Consider the following 23,874-nt stretch of genomic DNA (forward strand, 5'->3'; position numbering starts at 1 on the left):
ATTAGAAAATACATGAAAATGTGTTACATTCAAATCACAGTTCCCAAATAGAAAAATCTGAACACAGTACATTCATTTAAACTTGGATATAGTTTTCCCTTTCTGTTTTTAGCAAGTTTTACCAAGTTTCCTTTATCCTTTTTTTCTCAAGAGGTTGAAAACTATATATTCTATTTCTATTCTTCTATAGTTACTTTCACATTTATAACAACTTACACTTCTCTATTGAAGTCAAGAATTAAATGATCCATAAACTGTCCTCTTATAGGACAACACCTTTAGCAATTTTTATATCTACCTTATCCTGCACACTATTGCACATGCTTTATTTAAAATATGTGAAATTTAATTCCATTCCTAGTCTAGTTAGGAATCCTTCCTTAGCAACTGCATCAAACATCATAGTAGGCTACTTAAAAAGAACAATAAAAGAATAATAGAGGCCAGGCGCCGTGGCTCACACCTGTAATCCCAACACTTTGGGAGGCCAAGGCGGGTGGATCACCCGAGGTCAGGAGTTCAAAACCAGCCTGACCAACATGGAGAAACCCTGTCTCTACTAAAAATATAAAAATGAACCAGGTGTGGTGGTGCATACCTGTAATTCCAGCTACTCAGGAGGCTGAGGCAAGAGAATCGCTTGAACCCCGAAGGCGGAGGTTGCAGTGAGCCAAGACTGTGCCACTGCACTCCAGCCTGAGCGACAGAGTGAGACTGTCTCAAAAAAAAAAAAAAAAAAAGAAAGGAATGCCATCAAATAAATAGATTTAATTTTTAGCCTTTTATTAAAAAGGATGATGAGGTTCATTACTGTTATTCTTTTTGTAGCTGGTACCTACAGAGTTACTACATATAGTAGATGCATAATAAATATTTAGTGAATACTTGGTTGGATTAATTCTGAGAATAATACTTATTAGGAGTCCTGACTAAAAATAGGAGATAACGGTTGCATTTTTCCTAATGATTTTGTGCTGGAAAAAAAAAAGTATACAAGAAGTATAAAAAATACTATTTGAAGGCCAAGTGGAGTAGCCGGCTCATGCCTGTAATCCTAGCACTTTAGGAGGCCAAGACAGGAGCATCACTTGAGGACAGGAGTTTGAGACCAGCCTGGGTAACATAGTGAGACCCCCATCTCTACAAAAATAAACAAAATTAGCCAAGCATGGTGGCACATGCTATAGTCCCAGCTACTCGGGAGGCTGAGGTGGAAGGATCGCTTGAGCCCAGGAGGTCAAGGCTGCAGTGAGCTGTGATCACGTAACTATACTCCAGCTTGGGTGATGGAGCCAGACCCTGTCTTTAAAATAAAAACAGAGAGAGAGAATGCTACCTGACAGGGCATCTGCCTATTCACAGACTTTTATTTTTTTAATTCTTTTTCAATTAATTATTAACTCAGACACGTTTCAAAAAAACAAGCTTCTCAACTCTGGATGTGGTTCAAGAAAGACAGTGGGCCTCATTACTCACTCAGATTAGCCGGGCACTCGGATCAACCTATTTCCCTAGCTTTACCTCTCCCTCTGATCATCTGACTTAATGAGATTCTTTCCCAGAAACCTCCTGCCACTTGTATCTCTCGATGTTTGAAATTCGTTGGAAAGAACTTAAATGATTTAAGAATGATATATAACATCCTAAACATAAATTATACTATTTATAAAAAATATAATACCTAATATATATAATATAAATATATGACACTTATAAATAAAATCAATCTATTTATAATTGGTCCTGGAGTCATGTCTTTAGGTGTGGGATTTAATTTATCCAAATTTATGGTCTCTAGTAAATGGTATGATTAAAGTCAAGGTAAATTAAGCTCTCACGCTATATCTATAAATTGAGGGGGTGCTGACTAATTTAATCTCTAAATGTCTCTTTCAGCTTAGAGACCACTTGATTCTCAGTGATTTAACAGACAACTGAGTATTTTTAAACATAAAATCAGGGTTTCTCCACCTTAGCAATGACATTTTGGGCTGGATAATTGTCATGAGGACCTATCTATCCCGTTCATTGTAAGATGTTTAACAGCATCCCTGGCCTCTACTCACTAGGTGGCAAGAGCATTCCCCCCACTTTAGTTATGACAACAAAAATATCTCCAGATATTCCCAAGTGTCCCACGGGGAAAGTGAAGGGAACGTGTAAAATCACCCCTTGGTTGAGAACCATTTACCATATGAACAAGCAGATTTTTAGAAAAGTCTGACAGCCTAAATTTCAATACAATGTCTACCTGTACCTTAAACTTAGTATTTTAAATATTTTTAAAACCTTATGACTACTTAATCACTTAGTCCTTTCTGTTTAAAAATTGGTAAATGTCTCTTATCTAATGCAAGAAGTCCAAAGTTCCTATCATTGCTATCTTTTCTGTTCACAATCTGCCCTCATCTTACCTGTCCAGACCTATTTCACCGTCCAGGCCTAGCCCATAGTATTCATTCCTAGCTGGTTGATCCATCTTCTCTCCTCTACAAACACCATTATTAAGCTTATTAAGAGATAATTGCCCACAGAATAAACACTAAATGTAGACAGTAGTAAATAACCAAATATAACTTAACCCACTGAATTCTGTGTAGCAGTCCATATCAGTGTCATGTGTACTTTAAGAATTTATAAAATTAGACAATCCCCTATCCATAAATCAGACTAAATGAATGCTGTCTCGATAAAACACTCTGAGTCAGGTTCAACAGCTTTGAATACAAGAGACTATCTAAATCTTAATTTTTCTTTTCTGGAGTCCTTTAGACAAACAAAATTTTGTCCCTTTCATAAAAATGAAAAACAGAAAAATGCTATTTTCCTTACAGAGTGTAGCCATCTTCTCTTTCCCTCATCTCCATGTGAAAGAACAGGAGGAACCGCCAATGGTCTAAAGACCGTACCCTGAGAAAACCCCACCAGGGTTTTTGGGATCCAAAATTGTAGATGTTACATACCTGTGTGACTAAATTTGGACACTGTGAACCAGTTCTTGCTGTACTCCTCTTCAGAGATGCTGTTTTCTCCTGGCTCTGGATTCAACTGGTCACTCTGAGAGCAGGCATTGACTGTTATGATCTGGAGAGAAAGACACTTGTTGGAACACAGTGACATTAATTCAAAAGCACTGTGAGTCACACTAACAGAAGCACCATGGTGAAGGGCAGTGTCTGTTAACACTGGCTGCATATGACAATTGCCTGGGAAGTGCTGACAAATCCCATCACTTAGGCTGGCAGGACACAAGCATCCATGTGATTTCTCTTTGCAGTCATGACTGAGAACCCCTGCTCCACACCTTGGTTCTTAATCTTGAGTGCACATCAGAATCACCAAGGGCTTGGGGGCTGGTTTAAGCCACAGGTCACTGGGTCCCACCTCTGGAATCTCTAATGCAGCAGGTCTGGAAGGAGGAAGAATTTGAATCTCTATTAAGTTCCCAGGTGATGCTCATGCTGCCAATAGGAGATCATATTTTGAGAAAATATTAGAATCCAAAGAATTTGTGTTGGAATTCTAGCCCTGTCATTTAGAAGCCATGTGAATTTGGGAAAATCACTTAATGTCTCTGAGCCCCTTTTCCTTCATTACTAAAATAATAGATAGCCAATAATATGACCGTCCTATATACTTCCGAGCTGCAGAACAAATGCGGTAAATTGGTAACTCAAAAGCAATAAATAAATAAATCCAAGCTTGAATTATTGAACTCAGTTGCAATTTCTAGTTGAACTCTGGACATTTGAACTATTCCAAAAATAAATCTACTTAAGTGCATATTTCTTGGGATTCCAGAAACTCATGGCATTTTTCCTGAAAGAACAGCCTTTCTTATCTCTCCCCTAAAAGGTTCTTTTATGTAATTGTCTCAATACTAATCTCTTTGCTTCTGCTTCTCATTCTAAAAAAGGCTGAGGTATTTTTTTAATGCATCCAGATTATTATTTGGAAAAATAAGTGTAAACATTTTTTAAATAAGGCAGAGCATTAAGATCATGAAAGGTGAATTCTTACAGAATTGCTACTTGAGATCTAAAACTTCCAAACGAAATATAAAAAGACTCACTGAATGAAAATAAAAACAACACATCAAAATTTGTAGGAAAGAGCTAAAACAGTGGTTAGAGGGAATTTGATAGCACTAAATGACTACATTAGAAAAGAAGGCCAGGCACAGTGGTTCACACTTGTAATTCCAGCACTTTTGGGAGGCTGAGGCAGGTGAATAGCTTGAGCTTAGGAGTTTAAGAACCAGCCTGGACAACATGAAGAAACCCCGTCTCTACAAAAAAAAAAAAAAAAAAAAATAGCCAGGTGTGGTGGCACACCTGTGGTCCCAGGTACTCAAGGGGCTGAGGTGGGAGGATCACTTGAGACTGGGAGACAGAGGTTGCAATAAGCTGAGATGACAACTGCACTCCAGCCTGGGTGACAGAGTGAAACCCTGTCTCAAAAGAAAAAAAAAAATTAAGAAGGAAGTCTGAAATCAATGACCAAAGTTTCTACCTTAACAAACTAGAGGCTGGGCGTGGTGGTTCACATCTGTAATCTCAGTACTTTGGGAGGTGAGGTGGGCAGATCACCTGAGGTCAGGAGTTCAAGACTAGCCTGGCCAAAACTGAAAATACAAAAGTTAGCTGGGTGTGGTAGTGTATGCCTATAGTCCCAGCTACTTGGGAGGCTGAGGCAGGAGAATCACTTGAACCCGGGAGGCGGAGGATGCAGTGAGCCAACATGGTGCCACTGCACTCCAGCCTACACGACAGAGAAAGACTTTGTCTAAAAAAACAAACTAACTAACAAAAAAAAACCTAGAAAGAGAAGACCAGAGTTAAACCCAAAGTAAATAGAACAAAAGAAATAATAAAGATAAGAGCAAGCATGAATGAAACAGAAATCAGAGGCTGGGCATGGTGGCTTATGCCTGTAATCCCAGCACTTTGGGAGGCTGAGGCAGGCGGATCAATTGAGGCCAGCCTGGCCAACATGTCGAAAACCTGTCTCTACTAAAAATACAAAAATCAGCTGGGCGGGGTGGCACAGGCCTGTAATCCTAGCTACTCAGGAGCCTGAGGCAGGAGAATCACTTGACCCTGGGAAGTAGAGTTTGCAGTGAGCTGAGATTGCACCACTGCACTCCAGCCTGGGTGACAGAGAGAGACCCTGTCAAAAAAAAAAAAAAAAAAAGGAGGGGAGGGTAGGGGAAAACCCAAATTTAAAATGTTAGGAACAGGCCAGCCGGGCATGGTGGCTCATCCCTGTAATCCCAGCACTCGGGAAACCGAGGCGGGTGGGTCACCTGAGGTCAGGAGTTCGAGATCAGCCTGGTCAACATGGTCAAACTCCATCTCTATTAAAAATACAAAAATTAGCCAGGCATGGTGGTGGGCACCTGTAATCCCAGCTACTTGGGAGGCTGAGGTGGGAGAATCGCTTGAACCTGGGAGGCAGAGGTTGCAGTGATCCAAGATCAAGCCACTGCACTCCAGCCTAGGCGACAGAGCAATACTCCATCTCAAAAATAAATAAATGAATAAATAAAATAAAATGTTAGGAACAAAAGAAGTGATGTCACTAACCACAGATCTCAAAGACAATAAATGAATAATAAGAGAAGATTATGAACATTATGCCAATAAATTAAACAACTTAAACAAAATGAATAAATTCTTTGACATACACAAAAAAAGCTCATTCAAGAAGAATTACATAACCTAAATAGCTCTATATCTATTACAGAAATTGAATTTGTAGTTAAAAGCTTTCCCACAAAGATGGTTTCATTGGTTAATTCTACGAATACTTCAGACTGAAATAATATCAATTCCTTACAAATTCACCCAGAAAACTGAAGAGGAGGGAATACTTCCCAACTCACTAAATAAACCAAGCATCATCCTGATACCAAAACCAGACAAAGATATTACAATAAAAGTGAACTAAAGACAACTATCCCTCAATAATTCTGATGCAAAAAAACTAATGAAAAGTTTAGCAAAATGAATACAATATGAAAAAAAATACATCATGACCAAGTGGGGTTTATCCCAGTAAGGTAATTTAATATTCTAAGAATTCTAACATTATAAAATTAATGAATGAAATTCACTGTAAAATAACAAAATCAAAAGGAGAAATATCTGATCACCTAAGTAGATACAGAAAAAGCATTTGACAAAGGCTAATATCCATGAATGATAAAAATTCTCTGAAAACTAAAAACAGAAGGAAAGTTTTCACCCTGATAAGGGGCATCTATAGAAAAACCTATAGCTAACCTCATTCTTAATGGTAAAGGATTAAATGCTTTTCCCCTAAGAACAGACACAGGAAAAGATATCTGCTTTTATCACTTCTAGTCAATATTATACCAGAGGTTCTGTTCAGTGTAATCAGGCAAGAAAAGGAAATACAACATGTCCAGATTGAAAGGAAGAAGTAAAACTATCTATGTTTGTAGATGACATGGTCATGTATACAGAAAATTCTTAAAAAGCTACACAATATCTACTCAAGTAAAGAAGTTTAGCAAGGTTGCAAAATATAGGACCAGTATTAAAAAATTTCTATATACCATAAACAAATAATCAGATATTAAAATTGTTAACTAATGGCAGTTATAATAAAATTCAAAAATATGAAATAGGGATGCATTTAACAAAATATGTGCAAGATCAGTAGTCTAAAAGCTATAAAACATTACTTCAAGAAGTCAAAGAAGACCTAAATGGAGAAATACATCATGTTCGTGAATCAGAAGACTCATTATTGTTAAGATGTCAACTTTCCCCACATCGACATATAGATCTATGGCAATTCTATTCATAATCCCAGTCCACTTCTCTATAAAAATTGACAAGCTGATTCTAAATTTATATGGAAATGCAAAGAACACAAAATAGCCAAACTTTTGAAAAAGAAAGAAAAATTGACCTTTAATATATGACTCAAAATTTATTATAAAGTTGTATTCAAGATAACATAATATTGGCATAGAGATAGAAATTGATCCATACATATTGTGATCTATATGGTCAATTAATTTTTGACAAAGATGTCAAGGCAACAACAGAAAAAAGATATCTTCTATTATTGTTAATATGGTCAAGAACAGAATTGAAAAAGATATCTTTTTACCAAAAAATGGTAGAAAATTTTGATATTCATATTCAAGAAAGAAAGAGAAGGGCAGAAGAAACTCAATTCTTAGCTATCTTCATATACAAAAATTACCTCAAAATGGATTATAGACCTACAAGCAAGAGCTAAAACTATAAAATTCCTAGAAGAAAACATGAGAATAAGTCTTAGTGATCTTGGCAAAAATATTTTAAATGTGATACAAAAAATCATAGACTATAAAAGAAAAGAATCAAACACTTCATCAAAAAAATTATGGTTTCAAAGGACGTTTACGAAAATTAAAAGGCAAACCACTGAGACAAAATATTTGCAAAAACATCTACTCAAAAAAGGATTTATATCTAACATATATTTTAAAATGCTCACAACTTTATAATAAGACAACAACCCAATTTTTTAAATGGGCAAAGATCTGAACAAACATGTCACCAAAAATACCGTCATGCCCCGCATAACAATATTTCAGTCAATGACAGACCACTAATACAACGGTGGTCCCATAAGATTATAATGCAACTGAAAAATGCCTGTCACCTAGTGACATTACAGCTGTGATAACATCGTAGCACATTTTGTTTTTTATAAATTTAGTGTAGCCTAAATGTACAGTGTTTATAAAGTCTACAGTAGTATACAGTAATGCTCTAGGCCTTTGCATTCACTCACCGCTCACTCACTGACACTCCTAGAACAACTTCCAAGTCCTGCAAGTAAGTGCCCTATATAGGTGTACCAATTTTTATCTTTTATACTGTACTTTTACTGACCCTTTCTATGTTTAGATATGCTTAGATACACAAATACCATTGTGTTACAATTACCTAAAGTGTTCAGTACAGTAACATGCTGTACAAGTTTATAGCCTAGGAGCAACAGGCTACATCATACAGACTAGGCATGTGGTAGGTTAGACCATCTAGGTTTGTGTAAGTACATTCCATGATGTTTGTGCCATGATGAAATCACCTAATGACACATTTCTCAGAAAGTATCCCCATCATTAAGCAATGCATGACTGTACAGAGGGCAAATAAACATATGAAAAGATGCCTAGTAGCATTAGTCACTATGGAAATACAAATGAAATTGTACCATGAGATACCACTACACATTCATTAATATGGCTAAAATTTAAAAGATTGAGTATACTGAATTGGCGAGTGCTATGATTTGAACGTTTGTTCCTTCCAAAACTCATGTTAAAACTTAATTCCCAGTGTAATCATATTAAGAGATGGAGACTTTAAGAGGTGACTGGATCATGAGGGCTCTGGCTCATGAATACATTAATTCGTTCATGAGTTAATGGACTAATGGATTATGGAGGGGATAGGTTATTTATCATGAGAGTGGATCTGTTATGAAAGCCTGTTTGGCTCTCTCAGGAGCCTCCCTTGCCATGTGATGCCCTGTGCCACCTAGGATTTTGCAGAGAGTCTCTACCAGCAAGAAGTCCCTACCAGATATGTTCCCTCCACCCTGGACTTCCCAGCCTCCAGAACTGTAAGAAATAAACTTCTTTTCTTTATTAATCACCCAGTCTTAGATTTCTATTATAGCAACACAAAACAAACTAAGACAGTGAGGATGTAGAACAGCTGAAATGCTCATAAATTACTGGTGGGCATGTAAAATGTTACGATTACCTTGGAAAGCAGTTTGGAAGTTTCTTGAAAAATTAAAAAACACTTACCATATGACTCTGACATTCCGTTCCTAAGTATTTACCAAGGAGAAATTAAAACATATGTCCACAAAAAGACTTGTACACAAATGTTCATAACAGCTTTTTTGGAATAGCCAAAAATTGAAAACAACCCAAATGTCCTTCAACATGTTAGCAGATAAGTAAATTGCAGTATATCCACTCTAATGACTCTTAAATTTATATCTGGGTGTGGTTGTGTATGCCTGTAGTCCCAGCTACTTGGGAGGCTGAGGTGGTAGGACTACATGTGCCCAGAGGTTCAAGGTCAGCCTGGACAACATAGCAAGACCCCACCCATCTCTTAAAAAGAGGAACAAATTATATCTTCAATCCTTTCAACACAATGTTATTTTGTGTAGATGGCACTTTACAGTAAAGATAAATCAAACTAAGATAGGCCACTACCTTGACTGCTCAAAACCTAAAAGACAGAATAACAGTACACTTACTGGCACCTGGAGTCCTTGAGTATTCTTCTTTTTCTTTGACAGTCTCCTGTCTTTGGTTAGCATTTTCGCTTTGACCCATGCTCCCTGCCCTATTTCTGAAGAGCCTGAAAGATCTGCAAGGAAATGGTCTACATGAGAAAGTTGACAACAGTAAGTGGGGAACATTTTGTTTTACAGAAAAAGCTGAGAGAATGGGGAGAATGACAATGTGGTTAAGAGTCACAGATTTAAAAAACAAAACAAAACAAAACCAGTAGCAATGCAAAGGACTTAATGCTGATATTTTAAATGTTTATTCCTTACTTTTAATCTTACAGATCTTCATCAATTTCTCCTCCTTATGGAATCTAAAACTATGACTCCTAGCGAAGGGCCTGTATCTGCGGAGAGGATTGATCCAAAAGGATGTGTTTGGCTGAAGCCATGGTCCCACCTCTGAGCATTCACTACTCTGGGCCGATCTTGTTGAGTTATCAGATAGGGAGCTGTCCTGGGCCTGCTTCTGGTGCTGTTCACTCCGAGAGGAATCACTGTCACAAGTGGAGGGCAAGCAGGTTTGCCACTTTTTCTTGATGCTAAACACACCAGTTTCATCACCTTCTGAAAATGCCCAGTTTACATATCCACCTCCAGTTTGCATGATCTTGGCTTGGGAAAGAGGGGAGCTCATTGTCATGGGTTCAGGTGTGCAACTCAAAGTGGGTAGCACTTGCTCTGCCTTGTCTTGTCCATCCAGTAAGTGAGCAATAGGCTCGTGCTTTTCCTTGGGTTCATCCACTGATGCCCAGTCAGAGACAACTGGGGTCTGCCCAGTCAGATGAACAAGAACCTCAGTCTGGATGTCCTGTTCAGTTGCCAGCACATCTGGCACAGAGGGTCTGGACAGAGGCAAGACAGTTTCTGCTGAAAAAGGAACTCGCTTTAGATTAGAGGGGACCAGAAGAAACTGGCCATACTTTGAGTGTGCTTGCCTGTTAGGAGACACCCCAGAAACCACTATACTACTTTGTGTTTCTTGCCTTTCCTGGTCATTTCTTACATTTGTAGCCTCTCTTTTACTGTTTGTAATCTCAAGAAGTGCCCCCCTCTGCACTCTTGGGGGATGCCGGCCTCCAGCCAGGCTCCTCAGCAAAGAAGAGGGCATGCTATAATACTGGTATTTCTTCTCTCCAGCGATCTCCATGCTGCCTAGAACCTCTGCACAGATGACATTGCTCCAGCTGTGGGGAAGTTTTTTGCAAGTAGAATGCTTTCTCTTGGCCAGGAGAGCCTCATCCTCTTGCAAAGTGTCAACAGCAGAAAGGACTTTCAGGGTATCCACAGTCAGGGCAGAGAGATCCTGCAGGTGTCCCACCTGGCTGTCCAAAGACAGTAAGGAGTCCTTTATAAAAGACACCTTTTCATTCATTTCTTTCAGCTGGAAGTACATCTCTGTAACCCTAGTGGTGAAGGAAGGGAGAAAACCAACAAGCACATTAAGCCAGTGGGAATTTGCTCTCTTCCTACCCTACTTCCATCCTTAAATGGCTCCTGAGCCTCAGCTGCTTCCCTAGGTTAAGTCTGTCTTTTGCCTTCTTCTTCGCCCAATACATAACTCTCAACTCAGGTGATCTCATCCACTCCTATAATGCCCACTACTACCCATAGGAGAGGAAAAACTTACATATCTACATTTCCAGCCCTTATTTCTTTTTAATATTTCAGAACCACATTTCCAGTTCCAGCTAATGATTCCTTCAATTGTGTGATCAATCATCCCATTTTTACTCATTAATATATTTATTCATTTACATGACAAACACTTGAATACTTCCTAACAGCAAGCACCGTACAATTTTAATGCATGTAGGAGATCCTGAGGAAGAAATAAGAATGACAGAAACAGAATCAATAATCAAATATGTAATTAAGAAAAAGAAAAAAAACACAGATCTTTAAAATTAAAAAAAAAATCTCTAACTCTACTGTTCAAACAGGCTTCCCAAGTTTCAAACAAAATCCATTTTAGAAGACTTATATTCAGAAAAAGCCTAATGCAAATTTTTAAAGTTGTTTTGAATACTTTAACCCAAGATTATGATGTTCAGTCATTGATTCATGTAAAAGCAACACAACACATGTTCACCTTTCAAATGTAAATGTAAGTTGCAAGTAAATTGAATTAAATGTAACAATTAGTCCAAGTGCAATGGCTCAGGCCTGTAATCCCAGCACTGTGGGAGGCAGGTGGATCACTTGAAGTCAAGAGTTTGTGACCAACCTGGCCAACATGGTGAAATCCCATCTCTACTAAAAAATACAAAAATTAGCTGGGCATGGTGGCAGGCACCTGTAATCCCTGCTACTCAGGAGACTGACGCGGAGGTTGCAGTGAGCCAAGATCACGCCACTGCACTCCAGCCTGGGCGACAGAGTAAGACTCCATCTCAAAAAAAAAAAAAAAAAGTAAAAATTAATTTAATTGAGAGATGGCTACTATTTGTCTGTACATTTCTTTGTAATTATCTCTGTATGTGGATGAGGTTGGTTTTGTATCCCCCAAAAAGGATATGTTGAAGCCTTAACCCCAGAACCATAGAATGTGACCTGATTTGGAAATCAGATATTGATAGAGTAATCAAGTTAAAATGTGATCATCAGGCTGAATCCTAATCCAATATGACTGGTGTCCTTATAATGTGAAATCCTGATACACACACACAGAGGGAAGACGATATGAAGACACACAGGGACAAAATGGCCATTGACTAGAATGATGCATCTACAAGCCAAGGAACATCCACGGTTGCCAGCAAACACCAGAAGCTAGAAGAGGCAAGGAAGGATAGCAACATCGGAGAAAGCACGGCCCTGCCAACACCTTGATTTTGGACTTCTAGCTTCCAGAAGTCTGAGACAATAAAGTTCTGTTAGAAGACACATAGTTTTTGGTATTTTGCTGCAGCAGCCTGGGAAACTAATGCAGCTATCTAAACTTCATGAGTGATGGAATAAATTACAACATGTATGAGTTGATTACATAAAAAGAAACTTGTACGCAAAAATAGAATACAAAGGCTTAAAACAAAAATAAATTGGAAAACTGTGTTCTAATAAATTTGATGAGGCATTGATATCTCTTGATTAAGCAAAAACTTTCACAATTTATTGAGGAAAAAAAATTACAAAGACTCCCAAGGACATGAACAGATGAAAGGATACAATACAAAAGGTAAGGAAACCCAGTAAAATAGTCAACCTCATTATGTAATCAGAGATGAAAATTAAGATAATAATGAGTTCATCTATATCATAACAGCATTTGTTTTAACCTAGCAAATTAAAAAAAGAAAAAGTGAAACAACTCAGTGGTAGCAAGGATGGAACATAGGGACACAATATTATAAAGGAAACATAATCTTACTATGCTAAAGCAGACAGATATGTTTGTTATATTGTGAGATAGAATATTATGCATCCATTAAAAATCATACATTGTTGATAATTATTTTCTTGGGCTATTTCTAGTGGTAGAGGCAGGGCTGGGGATGTCTATTATGTTCGGCATTATGTTTTCAAATTTGGTATAAAATTTTAAGTTCAGAAACAATAGTTAAAATATATTTACAAAGTATATGTAATTAATTGGAGAAAATATTTTTGATGTGTTAAGAGCAAAAAAAAAAAAAACAGGATACAAAATAGTATCATTTTAACTGGAAATATGTGGAAGACTAAATTTTAAAAAGCCAAAATTTTCACAGTGAACTCTGGCATATCACATTGTTTTTTCTTTCTTTTCTTCCCTTGTTTCATTCTATTATTTGGGGGAGAGGAGGTATAGTTTCAGTTTCTCAATAATGAAAATCTTCAATAAACAAGATTAAAATAAAGAAACAGCATGGGAAGGAACCTAACCAATTGTGTCATGGCTGACGTGACCATTGCAGAAATGAAAAATGATTCCCGCTCTTATCTGGGGGCAGGGAGAAGTCGTGATTATGCCATGAAGAGTTTAACACTCAGCTGTAACAAGCACTTCCCAAAATAGTGTTAGACTTCCCATCAGGTTTAGAACACATCTCAAGTCACAGGGATTGAAAGAAAGATCTTCCACTTCCTCTTTCTGGGACCTTTGTAAATAGAAATTAAAGATAAAAAGAGTGGCACCTTCCATTTTTATTATATTCTATGTGAGTAGAACCCTCTCTTTCTTGCTTCTGCTATAGAATTCAACTTCTATAACTCAATAGAGGCTTAACAAATGCTTCCTGACCTTCTGGAATCTGCAAAATTAGAACTGGCAAGGATGATGTGGGAAACAGCACAAAATATATGTATACTCTCTTCCAAATATGCTTAATTAGAGCCTCTCCAACCAGTGAACTGTTTCATCTAATTCAAAAACAGTACAGTCTGAACACCAGTAATGGAGACTCATTAAGTTCCATTAGCAGCAGTCACATCGAATGGATACAATAGAAACCAGCAACTATTCACAGCCACAGGTAACATGCTACAATAGAAACCTGTTAGACAAACAACGTGGTCACCCTCAAATCAGGTCCCTTGCTTTTATAGACTTATTTTCTAAAACTTGATGTCCCGTGAAACATATTTTAATTATATTGCTGGACCACCAACGACATTAATTTAGCCTTTCAGTCATTCTGACACATAAAATTTATAATTTTAGTTTCCTCCATGCAAGGTACGAGGATGGAAGAAAGATGAGAATGGTAATTGTTTTATTATGGGCCTTTAGGCAAGATGCCTTAAAATGAGATAACGGCAAGTATAATTACAATCATCATGAAAATCACCATATTCACTGAGTGCTCACTATGTGCCAAGCATTTTATAAAGGTTCTACCTGTACTGTTTTATTTAATCCATGTAACAACCCTATAAGGTAGGAATTACTATTATCCTTTCATAGAAAAGAGCCTGGGTCAGCCGGGCACAGTGGCTCATGCCTGTAATCCCAGCACTTTGGGAGACTGAGGCAGGTGGATCATCTAAGGTCAGGAGTTCAAGACCAGCAGGGCCGATATGGTGAAACCCCATCTCTACTAAAAAAAAAAAAATAGCCGGGCGTGGTGGCAGGCACCTGTAATCCCAGCTACTGGGGAGGGTGAGGTAGGAGAATCACCTGAACCCAGGGAGCAGAGGTTGCAGTGAGCTGAGATCATGCCATTGCACTCCAGCCTAGGCAACAAGAGCGAAACTCCGTCTCAAAAAAAAAGAGAGGTTAGGTCACATAGCCAGAGTCACATGGCCCATGAAAATGTCAGGCATCAAACCTAGACAGGCCGACTCCATATTCAGTGGCATTGACCACTGCCTTCTGGTACCTCTCAGCAACTCACCTAGGATCCAGGCAATTTCTTTTGGGGTTTCCTAGAGTACCATGAAGTACTAAATGAACAACAATTCTCATGCTGGGAGGTGTCACAGATGTTCCTCAGTAAGGTTTCATGGTCAAATAGTGGTGGGACCTGCTTAAGCTATAACTGTACTGATGAATTACAATGCACATTATGTTAAATATTTTTTAAAACCACAGCATTTCCGAAATATAATGTACCAAACATGCTTAATGTGGAAAAACACCTAAAAGCATCTTACTCCACAGAACAGAGAAAGGGAAAAGCTGACTTACACTACTAGAATCAAAAAAGAAGTTAGAGTCCCAAATAGGGAAAGTAAGATTTAAAACAGCCTTGCTATGTTCTCTTTTTCCACTGTCGCAACTCACTTGATTCGAGAAGGATATAGCAATCTCTTCTTCAGAAGTAGGCTAATGTGCAAAATCCTCTGAATCTTTTTCCCTTCCCTCTTCAAACTATTGCTCAGTTACCTCAGGAAATATTCTCCCCTCTTTCCCATACCTCATTTATGAGGTCCATATAAATGACCTCAACAAAGATGACAGTATAAGAACAGTGCCACTGAGATAGCTCCATCAAGAGGGAAAATAGATTCTATTTTGAAGTTTAATTAGAGCTGCAGGCTCAGATGCGGTAACTCACGCCTGTAATCCCAGCACTTTGGGAGACTGAGGCAGAAGGGGTGCTTGAGGCCAGGAGTTCAAGACCAGCCTGGGCAACATTAGCAAGACCCTGCCTCTATAAAAATGAAAAAATTAAAAGTTAGCTCAGCATGGTAGCATGTGCCTGTAGTCCTAGCTACTTGTAAGGCTGAGGCAAGAGGATCGCTTGAGCCCAGGATTTCAAGGGTGCATGAGCTCTGATCACTCTATCTAAATAATAATAATAATAAATTAGAGCTTCATAACCAAATTCTAAATCTCTTGGAAGTACCCATAATTTTCAGACGGTACATATCCATTTAATTTCTAACCCTCTACTCAAATCCCAAGAAAAGAATCCAAGAGAAAGACAATGCTTTATGATGGTTAATGTTTTTAGGATTTTATCATTGAATTGTTTATGTCTGCTTCTCAATTTTCACTCTATATTCCCTTAGTTTATGATACCGCCTTCTTCTAGTTCTCTTTATACTCCTCTGAATGGTTATTTATGGTCTTCTCCATGAGTTTCTCTTTGCCCATTACAGGTGTTGGCACCTCCCAGGTTTTAACTCTCAGCTCACTAGGTTCCCTCACTCTTGCTTCCTGGGCATAATCGCTTCCTCTGTCATACTTTTAGTTTCCTACAATAGGCAGATGACTCCTACAGTTGACTGTCCCAATAAGCAGATGAGCTCCTCCACCAGTTCAAATGCTCCCCGGGGGCTTCAGATGCACACATCCAAAGCCTCCTGAACATCTCTGGCTAAATATACTACAAGAATCTCAAGCTCAAGAAATCTACAACTTATTGCTTTCTCTCACACCTCCTGTGCCTTCTTTATTTCGGTGGTGCCACCTTTCACCTGATTACCCCACTCTTTTCTGAAAGTCGTGCTGGACTCTATGCTCTCCCTTAGCTCCACATCTGATCCTTAACATGCCTAATGAATTGTTCTTTCTAAATGTCATATTCACCCCTTCTTTTCAATCCCACCACCACCAACCTTGGCGAGGCTGTGGACACATCAGTGCACTGCACTATTCTCTCAAATGGTCTTCGTGGTTCTTATTCTGACCCCCTCAAATCCACACCATTACTGAAGGTAAATCTGTCCATATCTTTGTCCACCTAAAATCCTTCCTTAGTTTATAGTTTAGAGTAAACGGCTCTCCATAAACTTATCCCAGTTCATAATCTTGGGGAGGCAGGGAGGCTATCCTGTCCACATCTCATCTGTTCATCCCCCTTTCCTTAAGGGTTGGAGGGGAATTTGTATTTAAAAAGAAATTATACTAACAATTTTGAGGGGCCCATTTTTACTTAATAATAGATAACTTTCATTGTACTCTTACTATGAGTCAGCACTCTGCCACACAGTTCATCTATATTATCTCATTTAATCCTCACAGCATCTCTAAGAAGCAGGGCTATTTCTGGGGTTTGTTTGTTTGCTTGAGACACAGTCTCATTCTCTTGCCCAGGCTGGAGTGCAGTGGTGCGATTTCAGCTCACTGCAACCTCTGCCTCCTGGGTTCATGTGATTCTTCTGCCTCAGCATCCTGAGCAGCTGGGACTACAGGCATGTGCCACCACTCCCAGCTAATTTTCTTTGTATTTTTAGTAGAGACGGGGTTTTGCCATGTTAGCCAGGCTAGTGTTGAGCTCCTGATGTCAAGTGATCCACTTGCCTCAGCCTCTAAAAGTGTTGGGATTACAGGAGTGAGCCACCTTGCCCGGCCTCCATGTCTATTTTACAAATAAGAAAACAGCCTGGCATGGTGGCTCATGCCTGTAATACCAGCACTGTGGGAGGTCGAGGGGGGCGGATCATGAGGTCAGGAGATCCAGAGCATCCTGGCTAACACGGTGAAACCCCGTCTCTACTAAAAATACAAAAAATTAGCCGGGTGTGGTGGCACACACCTGTAATCCCAGCTACTCGGGAGGCTGAGGCAGGAGAATTGCTTGAACCCGGGAGGCAGAAGTTGCAGTGAGCCAAGATCACGCCGTGGCACTCCAGCCTGGTGACAGAGTGAGACTCCGTTGAAATAAAGGAAGGAAGGAAGGAAGGAAGGACGGAAGGAAGGGAGGGAGGGAGGAAGGAAACCAAGGAGGTTCAGTAAATTTGCCTGTGTCCATATAACTAGTAAGTGCCTAAAGCAGGACTTCATCCCAGCTCCGTAAGCTCCTAATACGAGTCTATGCTTCATACAAAACGGAGAACCAAGCTTGCCCGTCGGACTCAATGAGCATAGCTATAAAGGGGCGCAGAACGTGTAGAAGAAGGAAAGAGAAATTCATATAACTATGGACTAAAGATATTATGTAGGTGAAATCAATTTTTGTGGACTCAATCTTTGATATTCAATTTTTTCTCCATATTAAATTTAATCTGAAATTCAATCAGGCACAGAAACACAGATTTATATAAATATGGTACCAATAGAGAAGTCCAGATTTATATAAACATGACTTATGCCCATAGTGAACCATTTAGAAAGTTCTTCATGTGATTCAGTTTAAGTAAAGCCATATTTAAGGATTCACATCTCTCTACCTGATATTTGACATCAGAAAAAAACATGCATAATTAGATATAATACATCATAGTCAGTTCCATATATGTTCAAAAATAGAGGAACACATTTAACTTCTGTCAATTTGCTTCCATTTACAAGAACAATTCTGTTTTAAAAAAATGCATTTCATCACATATAGCCTTCCATATTTTCACACGATGCCATGCACCCACAATTAGTAATAAATCCAACAGTAACTCAGATCACATTATAGCTTCCTAATATGTTCAGTCTCTCCAGTGTGTCTCCTCCTCTTTCCTCAAACTTCTGAATGTCCCCCATACCGCCTGCCTCCCTCAAAATCCCACACATAGGCACACCCAGCCGACGACTCTGCCTCGAGACCTGGGTCCCCACCAACCTTGTCTGCCTTCCCGTCTACTCTGGCCATATCCTGTCCCGTTCCCCTGCTTCGGGCAAAAAGCCAGACCCTCCATTTTCCCAGCTTCTTAGGGACTTCTCTTCAGCAAATGGCCTCCTCCCTCCACTCCTGAGTTTCTCCCTTGCTGGTGGATCATTTTCAGGACCATGCTGTTTTATTTATTGCCACATTACGCAAAATCCAACAAAAAAACCTTACCGTGTCCCCATACCAAGCTTCCCTGCACCGTAATACTTCTCCCAAAAGCCACCTGTAATTGCAGTCTCTGCTTCTCCTATTCTGTCTTCACCCACTTCAGTGAAGCAGCCGCCAACTCCACTGCACAACAACCGCCGGTCAGACGCCCTGAGAACCCCACTCCCCATCCAACCAGCACCCTCCATCTACCTCCTCCTCCCCTCTGGCTGCTGCCAGACACACCATGTGGCCTCAGGCGGCTGCGCTTGCTGTTCCTTCCGCCAGGGGCGCTATTCCACCAGACGCCCCTGCCTCGCCCACTGCCTCACTTCTTTCAGGCCTCCACTCAATGCCCTCAGAGCGACCTTCTAGAACCAGACCATCTAAACAGTCCACTCAACCCCCAGCTCCGCTAGATTTCACGCCACCATCATTTCCTGTTCTCTCCAGCTACTTTATTTTTCTTCATAGCTCTTTTACTGCCTGATAATAAATTACAAATCTATTTTTGTGGTTCCTTACTTAGGTTTTGTTCTCCATCCACTTCATTTCTCTCACCACCTACACACATGCGCACACACACACACGCGCGCGCGCATGAATGTAAGTCCCATGAGGACAAGGATTCTTATGTCTTATTAACCACTTATTCCTAGTAACTAAAAGAGTGCCTGGAATATAGTAGATGCTTAATAAATATACTTTGATTACATGAATATTATATGTTGTTAAATGTTTCAAATTATAAAGAACTCAAACCTCTGGGATTTGAAAGATCTTTCTACACCTTTAGATATTCTAGCAGAATCACGTTGTGTTAGTGGTTTCAGAATGGAAAAGATTTATATCTTTTACCTTTCTGATGTCACTCGGATTCGTTCCTCACAACTACAATTCACATCTTCCATCTTCTCATGGAAGTATTTTTCCACGCACTGCTCCTCAAAATCATGAAGTTTTTTCAGATCCTCCTTACTGAGGTAGAGTTCTATAGAAATAAGTATGAAACACAGAAAGAATCATTATTCACCTCAGGGCATGAGTGGCTTTTCTTCCACTTGTATTGAAAATGAGAAACTATAGCCTGTTGTGATAAGTTTGTCACCTTGTCAAACTATTTCTAATATTAATGCAGAAACAGCACCAATAAACAACTGGGAGCTGGGCGCAGTGGTTCACGCTTGTAATCCCAACACTTTTGGAGGCTGAGCAGGGGTGGATCGCTTGAGCTCAGGAATTAGAAACCAGCCTGGGCAACACAGGCAGACCCTCTCTCTACAAAAAAATTTCAATATTAGCTAGGCGCCTGTGGTCCCAGCTACACAGGAAACTGAGGCAGAAGGATGGCTTGAGCCTGGGAGGTCAAGGCTGCAGGAGCTGTGATCACGCCACTACACTCCAGCATGGGCTAAAAAGCGAGACCCTGTCTCAAAAAAGGAAAAGAAAAGAAAGAACTGGAAACACCAGCCTGGGTCTCTCCTACTCATTCTTTGAAAATGACTCATATATAGAATTCTTTCTCTTCAATATTTTCACAGGTTAGAATGCTTTCACATTTAAGAAAAATTCACTGCGTTTATATGAAAATGGGGAATCTGTCTTCTTTTCTCTCTGCCAACACTTTCTAAAATTAATTAAATTTTAATTGATTCATATTAGATGTACCTATTTTTGAGATACATGTGATAATTTGATACATTCATATAATCACATCAGGGCAATTGGTGGCACAAGCCTGTAGTCACAGCTACTCAGGAGGCTGAGGCAGATCTCCTTAAATATTTACCTGTCCTTTAAGATAGAAACATTTGAATTATTCTCTTCTAGCTATTTTGAAATGTATAATCAATTAATTTTAACTGTAGTCAACCTACTGATGGCAGGGCATGGTGGCTCACACCTGTAATCCCAGCACTTTGGGAGGCCGAGGCAGGTGGATCACTTGAGATCAGGAGTTCAAGACCAGCCTGGCCAACATGGTGAAACCCCACCTCTAGTAAAAATACAAAAATTGGGGGTTTCCTCTCTCGGCTTTGGAGCCCCCCTCCCTCTATCTCTGTACCGGGGAGCTTCTTCCTTCTTATTTGCCTATTAAACTCTCAGCTCCTTAAAACAAACAAACAAAAAAAATTAGCTGGGTGTGGTGGTCCATGCCTGTAATCCCAGCTACTCAGGAGGCTGAGGTGGGAGAAACATTTGAACCCAGGAGGCAGAGGCTACAGTGAGCCGAGATCGCTCCACTGCACTCCAGCCTGGGCAACAGAGCGAGACTCCATCTCAAACAACAACAACAACAACAACAACAAAAACCCTACCAATCTATTGAACACTAGGTCTTATTTCTTCTATCAAAGTGTATATTTGTGCTCATTAATCAACCTGTCTTCCAACTCTTTTAGCTATTACAATGACAGTAAATAACCAATAGGTTAAATGCAAGATTAGAAGAAGGCAGTCTATTGAAATTAATCCAGTAAGTATAAGAAAGTTTCACCTTGTTACGCAGAGTTTGTGCATACTAAATCCTTCTACTGAAGAATGAGATGTTATTATTACCATTCAATGGCCAATCACAGCTGTATACCTTCTCTGACACAATTATAAATAACTCATTAAAAAGACACATCACTAAGTGATATTATAAGGCTAACACAATTCTTCATCAAACTCCAGCATTCACATTTGGTCTATTACCTTGGCTTTCACTGTTGCCTAATAGAATAATATACCATCTTTTAAGCAAGTTTATAATACTTAGAAAATATATAATGAAGTGATGCTGCTAAAAGGATTAAATTGGAAAGTTCTCTTTCTTGAATGGTTTTGCTTACATTAGGAGAAAAAGAACTAATACAATTCTCCAGAATTTATTTAAAATGCAATTGTTACATTATTTTCTGTTAAAATTAATGACAAAAAATCTGAATTTTAAATTGAAAACATGGCTAAAAGTATTATTCAGCTGTAAAATGTATTCACAACTCAGGTATACAGTGCTTTCTGATTTAAATGGCAGGAAAAAAATTTTCAGACACTGAAAAGATTCGGTATCTCCCACCCCCTACCCAACTCTAATGTCTTCTTTCACTAAAGAATCTCCTATGAGCAAGAAACTTTACAGGTGTCATGATGTGAACCTTATGTGGATCCCTGAGAGCAAACAATCCAGAGTAATTCCAATGACAGGCGCAGCTTGCAGTATGTGGCGCTTTCCTGTAATTGTCCGCAAGGTGGCACTGCTGCCCCTTGTGTAAATGTCTTTATCCTCAATATAAAGGATCAGAAGCAATGTTATGAAAATTCAACAATGTTCCACAAAGCTCAGGGTGAATTCATTTTAAACTTTACTTGAGTTTTATATGAATCATCCTATAAGCACAGACCAAGGTGAACCCAGGAAACGTTCTTTCATGTGGTACTAGGAAGTCTGGGCAAATCCTAGTCAATTCCAGGATTTATCAAGTGATTCACATTCTGCTATTAGGTTGCAATGGTTCTGCAGCCAAAGCCTGGGACGTCTCTCTATTAGCGGCCTGAAATTTACAGTATAATTATAAGCCTTCAAGTTAACTTCAGGTATGCTTTGGCTTTCGTACAAAGGCTGAATCTCTTGGTCAGGGAGCAGGGTATGAAAAAGAAAAAAAAATCTTCAAAGTGACTTAGGAGGAGAAAAAATACTTCACAGAGTCACCTACCACCAGCAAAAGCATATCACCCTGTCAACCCCATAATATACTGCAGGGGATGACCTGTCCCCCTAAGGACCTACCTAAACACATAAATAGCCCGCTATCCCCTTAGCTGAAACTCCTGGAGTCCAGAGTATTTTAGAATTCAGAACTGTTTTTTTCTAGTTTCAGAAAATTAATATAGTGAGTATGTCATAAATGAAGTGAAATCCCTAGTTAAGATTAAAGCAATCCCTAAAATCAAACATATTGCTATTTTCTGCAGCCAACATCAATGAATATTCATACTACAAGAAATAAAGAGAATAAATGGCTTCGCATCAATTCTCATCAGCCTTTTTTGGCCAAATGAGTCTTTCCCCAATTTGTGAAGAAAAAAGGATTTCAGTTTTCAGAGGTATTTTAGATTTAGGAATTGGGAAGAGGATTGCGCATTTATGCCCCCTGCTTCCTGTATTTCTGGGAACTATCTAGAAATGGGCCTGGTACCAATTGTGGAACTGCTTGACAGGAACTACAGAATAAAACCACCAAACGCAATGTTCTCTGACAACAATTAGTACGATAGTCATATCATGCAGTGAAGATCTGGCTAAACAAGATGAATTAGGAAAACCTCAAAATATATAAGCTTATGAAAAAACACAAGTGAGAACCCCTATTTCCGCATCCTGACTCACAGTGTTGCCCAGGCCGAAGTGGCTATTCACAGGCATGATCATGGTGCACCCCAGCTTTAAACTTCTGAGCTCAAGCAATTCTTGTGCCTCAACCTCCTGAGTAGCTAGGACTACAGGCATGCACTACCGCACCCAGTTTCTGAGTTGAGGTTCTTGAAAATAAGAAACATCCATTTCAGAATCACCTCCATGCTCAGTAGATTAGAGAACCAGAGGATCGTGACTCTGGTTAAAGCCCAGCTTTGCTTATCTTTTCTCTTAGACCCCAAGGCCTTCTGTAACTCCATTCTGTCTGAATTCCATCTTCCACAACAAGGAGAACAGTACACGTCACATGACCACTCTCTAGGAGTTATTCTGATGAGTTCTCCGGTCAGCAGAGAAAACACAAGTTTTCCATGTGACATAAAGCCTTTACACAATCAAGCAGAGATTCTCTTCCTACCTATCCCTTTCTAAGTATCCGTTCATCTTGGCAAAAGGCACTGCGACCTCATAATGAGGTCAATATATTTACTCAGACCCAGAGCATCAGCTGATATTCTATTGTCAGGGAACTCCCAGAGCCCCACAGTGCCCTGAACTTAATTTATAATACTCCAGTGCATCTTTGCCTTGAATCCTACTTTTTGCTCTCTTTCTCCTGCCTCACATAGAACAACTTACTTAATCCAACGTCACCCTCTTCTTGGTCGTGAGGAGCTCGATGACAGCACAGGCGGCGGAGGAGAAGGCCCACGTGGCTCAGCAGGATGAGAGGTGGGGGCAGCCAGGGCTTCTCGTGGTAGGTCATGATGTAGCGATAGCGGTTGTATTTCCACAGGTTATTTGAAATGGATTCCATATCTAAGTAAACGTTGCTGTAAGATGAAGTAAGAGAGGGACAATGTTTTAATATGAAGTCTTGAAAGGTAACAGAGTCTATATTTTCCAACATTTATGATTGGCTCACCTGACATTACCGGCAGTTACCCAATACAAATACTATCCACGTGTTTACAATTCTTCTTCCACCAAACAAAATATATTAGCTACCTTCTACAATGA

General features: G+C 39.4%; 1 protein-coding gene across 3 annotated transcripts in view, besides 1 other annotated feature; it reads right to left on the bottom strand.

The window, feature by feature from the left end:
- Positions 1-23,874, bottom strand: part of TRPM6 (transient receptor potential cation channel subfamily M member 6) — a 165,427-nt gene that overhangs the window by 29,895 nt on the left and 111,658 nt on the right. For all 3 annotated transcript variants that reach the window (NM_017662.5, NM_001177310.2, NM_001177311.2), the window contains exons 24-28: positions 23,494-23,687; positions 19,314-19,446; positions 9,610-10,745; positions 9,307-9,419; positions 2,964-3,084 (exon numbers count right to left, since the gene is read on the bottom strand). In NM_017662.5, the coding sequence (NP_060132.3) occupies positions 2,964-3,084; positions 9,307-9,419; positions 9,610-10,745; positions 19,314-19,446; positions 23,494-23,687 (1,697 nt within the window). The remainder of the gene's footprint in view (positions 1-2,963; positions 3,085-9,306; positions 9,420-9,609; positions 10,746-19,313; positions 19,447-23,493; positions 23,688-23,874) is intronic.
- Positions 18,786-18,835: an enhancer, noted in NCBI's record as "active region_28467". NCBI's record gives its function as "activates an Ori minimal core promoter by ATAC-STARR-seq in GM12878 lymphoblastoid cells {active_cell/tissue: GM12878}" and the evidence as "EXISTENCE:reporter gene assay evidence [ECO:0000049][PMID:35858748]".

The sequence above is a fragment of the Homo sapiens genome, chromosome 9 (assembly GCF_000001405.40).
Source record: "Homo sapiens chromosome 9, GRCh38.p14 Primary Assembly".
In the NCBI taxonomy this organism is placed as follows: domain Eukaryota; kingdom Metazoa; phylum Chordata; class Mammalia; order Primates; family Hominidae; genus Homo; species Homo sapiens.